At 39.8% G+C, this 12,777-nt stretch overlaps 1 protein-coding gene across 6 annotated transcripts in view; it reads right to left on the bottom strand.

Moving 5' to 3' along the window:
* DHX40 (DEAH-box helicase 40) overlaps positions 1-12,777 on the bottom strand; it is a 42,736-nt gene that overhangs the window by 4,260 nt on the left and 25,699 nt on the right. For all 6 annotated transcript variants that reach the window (NM_024612.5, XM_006722083.4, XM_011525253.4 and 3 more), the window contains 3 exons: positions 5,235-5,349; positions 4,603-4,711; positions 1,470-1,564 (listed from right to left, as the gene is read on the bottom strand). In NM_024612.5, the coding sequence (NP_078888.4) occupies positions 1,470-1,564; positions 4,603-4,711; positions 5,235-5,349 (319 nt within the window). The remainder of the gene's footprint in view (positions 1-1,469; positions 1,565-4,602; positions 4,712-5,234; positions 5,350-12,777) is intronic.

The raw sequence follows: 12,777 nt of genomic DNA, 5'->3' as shown, positions 1-12,777 counted from the left end.
ATATCCTTTATAGCAAAAGGATGTAATTCAGAATCATACATTGCCTTTATTTTTCATTTCCCTTTGGTCTCCTTCATTCTGGAATACTTCCTCAGTCTTTGACTTTCATGATCTTGGCACCTTTAAAGATGTCAAGGCTAGTTACTGTGTGGTATGTCCCTCAGTTTGAGTTTGTCTGTTTCAGGATGATTAGATTCAGGTTATGCATCTTTAGCAGGAATATCACAGACATAATGCTGTGTTTTTCTCATTGTATCCTATCAGGAAGAACATGATTTTTATTTATTTCATTATGTTCACTTTGATTGCTTGATTTAGGTCACATATGCCAGGATTCTCCACTGTAAAGTTACTTTTTGCTTTTGTAATTAACAAAAATTTTATGGAGAGGTGCTTGTAAACAATTCCATTTCTCAATAAACTTTTACTCATTTATTTATACCACGATAGACACGATTTCACATTTTATTAAGTGCATAATAATCCGCTACTATCACTACTTATTTTGATGCTTAAAGTGTCTCATATTTGATTACTTGGGGCCTCTTCATGCTGGCTCCTATGTTCTTCTGACGTGGCCTCAACCTTTGTTAATCACTTCTTTACTTGCTGGCAAAATAAGATATTCTGGGCTCATCTTGCATTTTCCCAGCCCCATTTCTCCAAAGACCCCTGACTCCTTTAAGTGGCAGATGGATGTCCCAAGTCAAGATCTGGGCACTATGTCTATTCATTGTTATTATCTCAGAGCTAGGGCATATATACATATAAATATTTACATACATACAAATACATTCTATATACACACACTAACATCTATTTTTATTCCAGTGTCCATCCATGCATCCATCTATAATGAAACCCATAACTTCATCATGATACACTGAAATTTCAATCCAACAGCACAGAGATCATTCCTATTTTCTCACTTTCGCTATTTCTAACTCCCTTCACCATTATCACTCACAGAGTTATGTGTTCAATTCCTCTGTATTTAATGAATCTCCATCACCATCACTGTTACCCCTTTCTCTATAAAGATGCCTTCCTCACTACACTCTGACTGATGCCCCAAACCAAATAACCCCTCCCCACCTTGCTCAAGCCCTAGCACTCCATGCCAAGCTACCCTTCCTCAGGGATGCTATGCTCAACCTACTTGGCTTTCACACTATACACAGGGCCACCTCTCTGAAAGAAAACTCTTGTTACTTGCCTTAAGTGAAGATAACCCATGCTGGACAGCCACCCTACAAACATACCCCTCCTACCCTACTTGAGCTCTAATACCACATTCTGAGCCACTGCAGCTCTCCCTCGTCACTGTAGCTCTCCCTCGTCACTGTAATTCATGTCATAATCATCACAGAGCTTAAATCAAATCTTCAATGTTTAATATTAAATAGTCCAATATTATAGTCAAATACAGTATTATATCTTGATCCATCTCTCAAGTCTTTATTGCTTACCTTCGAGCTACATTTTTGAAATAGCCCGCACAAAGACATCTTCGTAGTACTTCATGTTTAGGGCCTTCAAAGGTCTCTTTTGGGAAATCACTTTGCTATAAAAAGAATATGTAGAGAGTGGTAAATCTCATAGTACAATTTGAAATAATCTTTTATTTTGAAAAATCCACATTTCTAAAGACCTCTGTTTCTGGCCAACATAGATTAAGAGAGACCAGATTTACCCTTCCACCTGAAACCAAAAAAATGGAAAAAATACATGAAATAATGATTTCCAAAACACTGTAATATCAGGCAATAAAGGACAGAGACAGGAAATAAACGCAGTACGCCCAACAACTGCCCCAACTTCAGCCTTGATAAAGACTGCAGACCAAGGTACAGGGAAGTAAAGCCCAAATGGAACTCAGAGAACTCCCTGGGTTAGGGAGAGAAAGCTGGGAGTCCAGGAAGACCAAGGTGGCTAGAATTCACAGGACAAGAGTTCAGGAGAGAAGAGAAGTGCACAAAGACACAACTCCAGAGAGATGCAGAAGGTCCTCCTCAAGTGTTGAGCTGAGTAGTGATTAGCACATGAATGTGAGGAAACTACCAGCCCAAGAAAAGAACCTCTTAAAAGGATAAGTAAGGGCATGGTGTTTTCACAGGGCTAGTAATGGCGCCTGTTCCTATAAGCCACATGAGAATACTACACTACAGTAATTCATGTGATGTTAGGAAGAGTACTCAGATGGGCCTTGCCTCAGTAGAGGGGAATAACTAGCCCTGCACTGAGCACTGCTCTGATCCCACCTAACAAATCATGCAAGCAAGACCCAACAAGAAAGACCAAAGACCATTTCCAAGTAACTAGAACACAAAAATATCCAGCACCCAACAAGGTGAAATTCACAATGTTTGGCATCCGCTGAAAAATTATCAGGTATGATGTAAAGAAGCAAAAAAACACAATCCATAATGAGGACATCTATCAAAATCAACCTAGAACTGACACAGATCTAATTATATTTTATTATAATTTTCTGTATAGCTGGATTACATATGTTCAAAAAGTAGAGACCTGAAAAATAAAATGTAAAAATTTAAAGACTGAAATCCAACATCTAGAGATGAAAATACAACACCTGAGATGACAAATATACTAGATGGGATTAATGGCAGATTAGACTAGACACTGCAGGAGAAAAGATTAATGAACTTTAAGATAAGGCAAACAGAAAACACTCATAACGAAACAGAGAAATTATAACAGTGGTTTCCAGAGGCTGGAGAAAGAAGATAATGGGTAGGTTTTTTTGTTTTTGTTTTGAGTCAGGGTCTTACTCTGTCACCCAGGCTGCAGTGAAGTTGTGTGATCACAGCTCACTGTAGCCTGGATCTCCTAGGCTCAAGCAATCCTCTACCTCACCCTGCTGAGTAACTGACACTACAGGTGTGTGCCACAACGCCTGGCTAATTTTTTTTTTTTTTTTTTAGTAGAGACAAGGTCTCACTGTGTTGCCCAGGCTGGTCTCAAACTTGCTGGGCTCAAGTGATCCCCACACTACGGCTTCCCAAAGTGCTAGGATTATAGGCGTGAGCTACCATGCACTGTCGGGAATGGGGAGTTATTGTTGAATGGTTATGGAGTTTTATTATAGTATGGGATGATAAAAAAAAGTTCTGGAGATGGAGAAGTGGTAAGGGCTGCACAACATTGTAAATGTTTTAAGTGTGCAGTGACCTGTACGCATAAAAACAGTAAAAAAAAAAAAAAAAAAAAATTTTTTTGAGACAGGGTGCTGCTGCTCTGTTGCCCAGGCTAGAGTGTAGTGGCATCATACCTCACTGCAACCTCAAACTCCTGGACTCAAGTAATCCTTCTGCCTCAGCCTCCTGAGTAGCTAGCACTACAGGTGTGTGCCAACACAACAAGCTAATTATTTTAATTTTTTTGTAGAGACAGGGTCTCACTGTTTCTCAGGCTGGTCTTGAACTCCTGGCCTCAAGTGGTCCTCCCACTTCGTCCTCCCAAAGCATTGGGATTACAGGGGTTAATCATCAATGCCCAGTAGAGGTAAATTTTATATTAATTATTTTACCAAAATAAGATATATAAATTGAAAAACTAATAATCATGAGGAGTAAAAGATGCCAGACCAAAAAAAAAAGAGCATATACTGTTTGATTCCATTTATGTAAAATGCTAGGAAATGCAAACTTATATACAGTAAGTCTTCAATGTCAATGATAAGTTCTTAAAAACTGCAAAGTTAAGCAAAATTTTTAAGATTTTTTTTTTTCTCTCATCAGTGTTAAAACAATGGTGAATAAAACAATATTTTTCTAGGGCCTGCTGTATATCATTTTGCTTAAACTCACAGTTTCCAAGAACCTACTGATGACATTAAGTGAGGACTTACTGTATCATGACAGAAAGCAGATTAGTGGTTACCTGGGTTGGTGGGGCAGGAGGGCCTAGTAGGTGAGACAATGGATTATGAAAGGGAATGAGGACAGGTGCAGTGGCTCATGCCTGTAATTCCAGCACTTTGGAAGGCCGAGGCAGGTGGATCACTTGAGGTCAGGAGTTTGAGACCAGCCTGGCCAACACGGCAAAACCCCATCTCTACTAAAACTACAAAAATTAGCCGGGTGTGGTGACGCAAGCCTGTAATCCCAGCTACTTGGGAGGCTGAGGCAGAAGAATTGCTTAAACCTGGGAGGTGGAGATTGCAGTGAGCCGAGATCACGCCACTGCACTTCAGCCTGGGTGACAGAGTGAGACTCCATCTCAAAAAAAAAAAAAGGTGGGGGGGAGGATGAGAAAACTGGGAGATGATGGATATGTACCATTATCTTGATAGTTGTTTTACGCAAATGTCAAAACTCATCAAAGTGTATACATTAAATATGTGTAGGTTATCACACGTCAATTATATATCAGGAAAGCAATTTTTAAATATCTTCATTTCTGTGAAGACAATTCTTTTATCACTACTAGGAATGTTTCATGGGGTCAAGGAGGTCATAGAAACAAATAGAATGGAAGGGTGGTAGAATAGAAAGGGTGCTAATGTACATCAATGAAACTTCAATATGAAATATATAGGTCCAAAATGCTACTCAAGAAAAAAAACATTACGGCAATCACCTGTTTAAGCTTCCTGATTAGTTCTCGAAGTTGAGCTTCCACACGAAATGCAGAAAATAAGCACCTCCAATGAATCCAGTGTTTTTGGCACCATGAAGCTGGAGCTCCACTGCAAAACAAAAAACTGGTATCTTTAAAATATCTTCTCTAAGTAAAAGACAATCTAAAATTCTCATTTCTATTACAAAAGTGGAAACCCATAAACAACTGTCAGTTCCTTCAGGAGACCTGTCCAAGTACTAAAAAAGAATTTTAGGAAACTTGAAAAAAACATTTAAATTAATGAATGTGCCCCTGACTAAATTAAAAAATAATTTGTAAATGGATTTCTTTACTTATATATGCAATAACAAATATCCAATCATTTTTTAATCTAGGCTACCTATATAGAAGCAAAATTCTATAAGGTCATTTTCAGTAAAGGTTTGAGGAGAAAAGAAGAGAATCAATGTTATATAATAAATGCCTACTAAGCAATAGTCATCTGACATAGATAATTTCACTGAAATTCAAAATACCTTGAAGTCAATATCATCTTCACTGAACGTTAGTGTCACAAGCCACATCATAAGTACGTATTGGAACTATACATCAAATTGACATTTTTCAGGACAAAGGACTACCTTACATACCTTGATTTGCATTGTTCAAAGATGACAGCTAAAGTTGCAAAGTCATTAAATCCTCCAGCTTTAGCTGCCAATTCTCGATGTCTCTGTTCTGCTTCCTTCTGGTACTCTGGATCAACTAAAAGAATTGGAGAGGCAATTCAGTTATACTTTGCATTAAGTGCCTACAATCACTTTGCTTTCAGAAACTCATTAAAATCTGCCTCATCCTCTGGGGTGAAGTAAGGTAGAACTATATTAACTCTTCTTAACTTCTCTTAGGAAGCTCTATTTCTCCCACAATTCCTTTTTTTCTTTTCATATCACTTTGGAGATTTTACCTGAATAGCAACATTACTTCTCCCAATCTATTTGCCTTTTAAAAATAGTATTTGTAATTTACTTTTTAAATTAGTTTTGTTATAAGAGTAATCCATGCTTACAGAAAAAAAAATGTAATGGTATAAAAGAATATCATGTAAAAGTTCAATGTTCCCCAGTCACACTACCCATAAACCAATCCTCAAGACAAAGTACTGTTCATTATTTAGTGTGTGTCCTTCCAGGTAATTTCTATGTATATATAAGCATATGTACATAGTGTTTCATTTTTCTATAAATGGAATATATAATCTGAAAATTTGTTTATTTAATAACAACTCCATATCAGTACATATAGAATTATTCTTTCTCAAAAATAGCAATATAGGGCCAGGTGTGGTAGCTCACACCTGTAATCCCAGCAATTTCAAAGGCCAAGGCAAGTGGATCAATTGAGCCCAGGAGGTCAAGACAAGCCTAGGCAACAAAGCAAGATCCTGTCTCTACAAAATATACAAAAATTAGCCAGGCATGGTGATGCATGCCTGTAGTCCCAGCTACTCAGGAGGCTGAGGTGGGAAGATCGCTTGAGCCCAGGAGGTTTTTTTTTTTTTTTTTTTGAGACGGAGTCTCGCTCTATCGCCCAGACTGGAGTGTAGTGGCGCGATCTCGGCTCACTGCAAGCTCCGCCTCCCGGGTTCACACCATTCTCCTGCCTCAGCCTCCCGAGTAGCTGGGACTACAGGCGCCCGCCACCGCGCCCGGCTAATTTTTTGTATTTTTAGTAGAGACGGGGTTTCACATGTTAGCCAGGATGGTCTCGATCTCCTGACCTTGTGATCTGCCCGTCTCGGCCTCCCAAAGTGCTGGGATTACAGGCATAAGCCACCGTGCCCGGCCCAAGCCCAGGAGGTTGAGGCTACAGTGAGCCGTGATCGCATCACTGCACTTTGGCCTGGGCAACAGAGTGAAACCTTGTCTAAAGAAAAAAACAATGATATGGTATTCCCCAGGAGTATGGGGAACATAACACAATTTAACCAGTTCTTATTTATCCAATTCCCAATTATGGGCAATTAGACATGATCTCCATATATGCAGAACTGACCTACTACGAACATTTTCTTTTTTAATGTAATATTGAAGTATAATATGCATACAGAAAATTACACAGGACGTAAGTGTGTAGCTCATATAATATTCACAAACACAACATACCAATGTACCCAGATCAACAAACAGTATCACCAGCATCTCAACAGCCCCCTTTTATGCCCTCCTTCGAGTAACTACCCATTCCCTTCCACAAGAATAACTATATCCTGACTTCTAATCCTACAGATGGGTTTTGCCCATTTTTAACCTTTGTATAAATGAATCGTATAGTATGTACTTGATGTGTCTGTTTTCTCTTGCTCAACATTACGTTTTTGAGATTTATCTGTTAATTACTTCGATACCACTTCCCCTGATCCCATTCAGGACTCATGTGCTCTCTGATTGCCCAAATTCCCCATACAGCACTTTATCCAGGGCTAATCTTTCAGAGTGCCATTTTTTCAAAACTGCATAGGGATCCTTTCCTTCAATCTAACACGTCACATCACAATTCCTATTCCCTATACCTATCACAGCTAGATCTAGCAGAGGCACAATGTTGCCTGAATCCAGGGAGCAGCATTTACTATAGAATACGATGTGAATCTGCAAAGCAGCAGTTCCTGTTACTAGGAGGAAAGTAATTTGATTAAAGAAAACACTGATGAAGGTATAAAGTCTTCTATCCCATGCTTTAAGTAGCTTCCAACTATGTTACCTAGGTAGCAACTGAATGAAGCAGCTAGAGACAAAAAAATAAAAAAGAATATGATTTATCTCAGACCATACAAACATACAAATGACCCTGGTAAGGAAAAGATATAAATGATTATTAATCTCCATTTCTTGAACTGCTCCGGGAGACTAATTTTGTTTTTTGTTTTGTTTTTTGAGACAGTCTCGCTCTGCTGCCCAGGCTGGAGTGCAGTGGTGCAATCTTGGCTCACTGCAACATCCACCTCCCAAGTTCAAGGGACTCTCCTGTCTCAGCCTTCCAAGTAGCTGGGACTACAGGCACACACCACCACACCCAAATAATTTTTACATTTTTTAGTAGAGATGGGGTTTCACCATGTTGGCCAGGTTGGCCTTGAACTCCTGACCTCAGGTGATCCGCCCGCCCTGGCCTCCCAGAGTGCTGGGATTACAGGCTTGAGCCAACACGCCAGCCAGGGATACTAATTTTTAACCCAAAATATTTCATTTCAAGCACCTAACTGCCATCCCCCAGAAGATATCATGCCAAAAGTCAAATTGCCCTAGACTCCAGCATCGACCCCATCCTGGCTCGCAATACCAGGAGAAAAGCCTACCTGTGAGTCAGTGCCTCCTGGAATCCCTAGAATCATGGCACCATGCAGTCTGTGTTTGCATGCATTTTTGATAAATTTTAACTTTTTATAATAGATTTGTGTATATTTTATGGTAGTAAATTATAAAACAGACTAGTACTGGAACAGGAATTAAAAGAAATTAAAGACTGTATAAGCAAAAACTCAGTTGTATGTAAGAAAACCCAATTCCCCGAGGAAGAGAAAGAGCTGGAGTCCTTTAAAATTAACTGCCTGTTTTTCTCTCTGTGGCTAGTGAGCCTTATCTCACCCCTTCCCAGGCATTGTGAAGACTCTCGAGCTGTGCAGCTTCAAGGTCACTAGACAGATAATCTCAAGTCGTAAAACATGTTGTTCCTTGAAAAGTAAGAAATAATGTAATGCACGTCTTAATTAAATAACTGTCTTTGTTTCTCACTTCTGTAATATGCTTCCCCCTGCACAGATCTCCCCCCGCCCCACGAAATGCTTAAAAGGTAGCTTGACTCTTTGTTCAGGGCTCAGTCCTTTGGATGTTAATCCAACTGGGTTGGTGCACCTAAATAATTAAATAACTCCTCCTCAACCCCTCGGTCTCTCTGATTCCTTAATTATCCTGCAGCATTTCCTACACATAGTTTATGTTTTCATGACATACTTTTTCTTAATTTTTTTGGTATTTCCAGGCTACGGAGTTCATCTGTGAGTTTTTTCAAAGTGTCACAAATCTCCGAAAACTTTTCCAATATATTTATTGAAAAAATTGGCCGAGTGCATGGCTCACGCCTGTAATCCCAGCATGTTGGGAGGCCGAGGCAGGAGGATCACCTGAGGTTGGGAGTTCGAGACCAGCCTGACCAACATGGAGAAACCCCATCTCTACTAAAAATACAAAATTAGCTGGGCATGGTGGCACATGCCTGTAATCTCAGCTACTCGGGAGGCTGAGGCAGGAGAATTGCTTGAACCTGGGAGGTAGAGGTTGTGGTGAGTTGAGATTGTGCCACTGCACTCCAACCTGGGCAACAAGAGCAAAATTCTGTCTCAAAAAAAAAAAACAAAAAACAAAAAATCTACAAATAAGTAGACCTGCACAGTTCAAACCTGTGTGTTCAAGGGTCAACTGTACTGGGAATGGTGATGTGAGGAGTTAGGTAAAACTTCTTTTCTAGAGAGACATCTATTAAACTAGTCAAAATTACCAAAGACAATCATTCAAAGTCTCTGGAGATTGATTAAAATGCTTAAGACAAGCCTAATCTATGGAATTCGGTAAGGACAGTAGGAAGAATGCCCCACTCTCAACAGCTGTGTGTGTGGAAGGGCTATGCGAGAGCCTTCAAGGCAGCCTGAAAGCGGCACCCTTTCCCTGACTCCTAAATGCTACTCGGTAGGGAAGATCAAAGCATAACAGATAATGACAGCCTACGCAGTCCTCTATTCCCCACAGCTCTGTGTTGCAGAAGAGTTGTTCCAATGGGTTCAGCAGCTCAGTGGTAGTTCCCACTACTCCCAGTTTCCTAGAGCTATTCCAGGTTTGTACGTTTGCAACTAGTGAACATCCAGAGATTGCATCTCAAAAGGCTTTGTGCTGAGGAAGATGCAAAGTGAGCCACAGTATCAGCTCCTAACTCCCCAACCCCAAGCTTCTGCTATTTAGGGAGGACCCAGATAGGAGAGCCACTGAAGAACAGGCCCCCATTACCACCACCACCCTCTCCAACTCCTGCTCCATAGCACAGAGATTGTTTCCAGGAAAGGATGGGGAAAGGATTATCAAAGACGGGCAATACCTTGCCCCTGCCGAGGTGCCCAACTTTATTTGGATCAAGACTATGGAGCAATTTATGCTCTGGGCACTGTCAAAAACAACAGAGCCAGCAGCTAGCAATCAGTGGAGACTAACAGCTTGCTGTGACACCAATAGAGACAGACCAGCCAAAAATTCAATGAAGAAATCAATGAAGGAAACAGAGACCTGCTAAGAGCATAGTCTTCCTGGTGTTCTAGAAGATTGTTCTCATGCCCAAAGCTGTGCCTTCTGAGAAGTAAATAGAGAGGGAATGTCTGAGCCTCGACTCCTTGGCTGAACACAGTACAAATTCATCAACTCCCTCAACCATGAAAGTAGTCTCCTAACCAGAAACACAGATTCAACAGTAAAAGGTGAAAACATCACTGGCTTAAATTAAAAGGCTTAGCTAGGTACAACCTCCGACCAATCACTGACTGACCGCTGGAGTTGACAAGGACAAGAAACAAAATGGAAACTGCCATAGAGGGGCTCAACAGTAGATCTGGGCTGGCAGAAGAAAGAATCCACGAATTAAAGTTTTTTTGTTTTTTTTTTTAATTTAAGACAAGGGGCCGGGCATGGTGGCTCACTCCTGTAATCCCAGCACTTTGGGAGGCCAAGGTGGGCGGATCACCTGAGGTCAGGAGGTCAGGAGTTTGAGACCAGCCTCCAACATGGCAAAACCTCGTCTCTACTAAAATTACAAAAATTAGCCAGGCATGGTGATGCAAGCCTGTAATCCTAGCTACTTGTGAGGCTGAGGAAGGAGAATTGCTTGAATCCAGGAGGTGGAGGTTGCAGTGAGCCAAAATCATGCCACTGCACTCCAGCCTGGGCGACAGAGCAAGACTCCGTCTCAAAAATAAAAAGACATGGGCAAAATATTTTAAAAGACATCACAAAGGAAGACAGAAAAATGGCCAATAAGCACATGAAGAAGTGCTCAACATTATTAGTCATCAGGAAAATGCAAATTAAAACCACAAAGAGGTACATAATAGAATGTGTAAAATAAAATGATTGGCAATACCAAATGTTGAGAGGGGTGTTTAGTGCAAGCTGTACTCTCAAACATTGCTGATGTGATTTTTAAATGGTACAACTGTTCAGGGAAAAGGTTTGGCAGTTTCTTAAAGATTCACATATACCTACTCGATGGCACAGCAAATTTCTTTCTTAGGCATTTACCTTATCTAAGAAAAATGAAAATAAACACCTTCAAATTTTTGTGCAAGAATGTTCAAAACAACTTTACTCAAAAATAGAACTAAACAAGAAGCAATTCAAATGTCCATCAACAGGATAATGCACAACTGTATGTTCATAAAGTGGAATACTAGTCAACAACAAAAAGAATAAAGTATTCATACATACAACAATATGAATAAACCTTAACATACATTATGTTGACTGAAAGAAGCCAGACACAAGAAAGGAGAGTGTATAATTCTATTTATATGAAGTTTTGGGCTGGGCACAATGGCTCACACCTGTAATCCCAGCACTTTGGAAGGCTGAGGCCGACGCTGATGGATCACCTGAGGTTATGGGTTCGAGACCAGCCTGGCCAACATGGCAAAACCCCGTCTCTACTGAAAATACAAAAATTAGCTAGGCATGGTGTCGGGGACCTCTAATCCCAGCTACTCCAGAGGCTGAGGCAGGACAACTGCTTGAACCCAGGAAGTGAAGGTTGCAGTGAGCCGAGATTGTGCCACTGCACTCCACCCTGGATGACAGAGCAAGACTCTGTCTCAAAAGAAAAAAAAAAATTCTATTTATATGACGTTTCAGAAGAGGCAAACTAATCAGAAAAAAATAAGAAAAGTGTTTAACCAAAGGTAGGTAGAGTGATATCTGACTAAGAAGTGGCACTGAGGGAACTTGCTAGTGATAAAAATGTTCTATATATTGACAGGGCTTGGGTTACATGGGTATAAGCATTTTACAGAATTCATTGAATTATACACCTAAAATTTATGCATTTCACTATATGTAAATTTTACCTAAAATTAACTGTAAACAAATATCAAACTGTAGTTATATAGGGTTGTTTTTCACAGTACTGTAACTTACCAATTCTCAAACTACTTTCTGTAGATTCTAGGGAAAATGGACAATTTCAATATGGATTCTGGATTAGATAATAATATTGTATCAAAGTTAAATTTCCAAACTTTAGGCCGGGCATAGTGGCTTACACCTGTAAACCCAGCACTTTGGGAGACCAAAGCAGGAGGATTGCTTGAGCCTAGGAGTTTGAGACTAACCTGGGCAACATGGGGAGACCTCATCTCTACAAAAAATTTTTAAAAATTAGTCAGGCATGGTAGCATATGCATGTGGTCCCAGCTACTAAGGAGGCTGAGGTGGGAGAATTGCTTGAGCCCGGGAGGTCAAGGCTGCGGTGAGCCATGATCCCACCACTGCACTACTGCCTGGGCAACAGAGTGAGACTCTCTCTCAAACAAAACAAAACAATTTCCGAATTTTGATTAATGTACTATGGTTAAATGAGAGATTGCCCTTGTTCTTGCCTAATACAGATGTAAATATTTTGTGGTAAGGGAGCACAATGCTTCCAATTTATTCTTAAATGATTCAGAAAAAGAAAAAAATCCATTTATATATACATATATAGAGGGAGACAGAGTAATAAAGCAAAGGGGGTAAAATGTTAAAAATTGCGGAAACTGCATAGAAGGTATAAAGGAATTCCTTTGCTATTCTTATTTGAAATTATATAAGAATAAATGTCACCCAAAAAAGGCTAACACCACACTGATTTTATCTATTTAAATATTCCAACATGGAAAAAACATTTTTCTTTTTCTAGCCTTAAAAGACTATTAGAGTTGGTCACCTTAATCCAACTTCTTGGTTTTACAAATGAAAAATGAAATCTAGAAAAACTAGGGCCATGGTCAGATAATTAGGTAGTAGTGGAGCTGGACAGAACCCTGCACTCTTAACTCCTACTTCAATACTCTGTAATAGGTTTTGAAATATTTTAGCTTGTTTATTTCTTTCTTTCTTTTTTCTT

This window comes from Homo sapiens, chromosome 17, assembly GCF_000001405.40.
Source record: "Homo sapiens chromosome 17, GRCh38.p14 Primary Assembly".
NCBI classification, from domain to species: Eukaryota; Metazoa; Chordata; class Mammalia; order Primates; family Hominidae; genus Homo; species Homo sapiens.
This window is presented reverse-complemented; position numbering and strand designations above follow the sequence as displayed.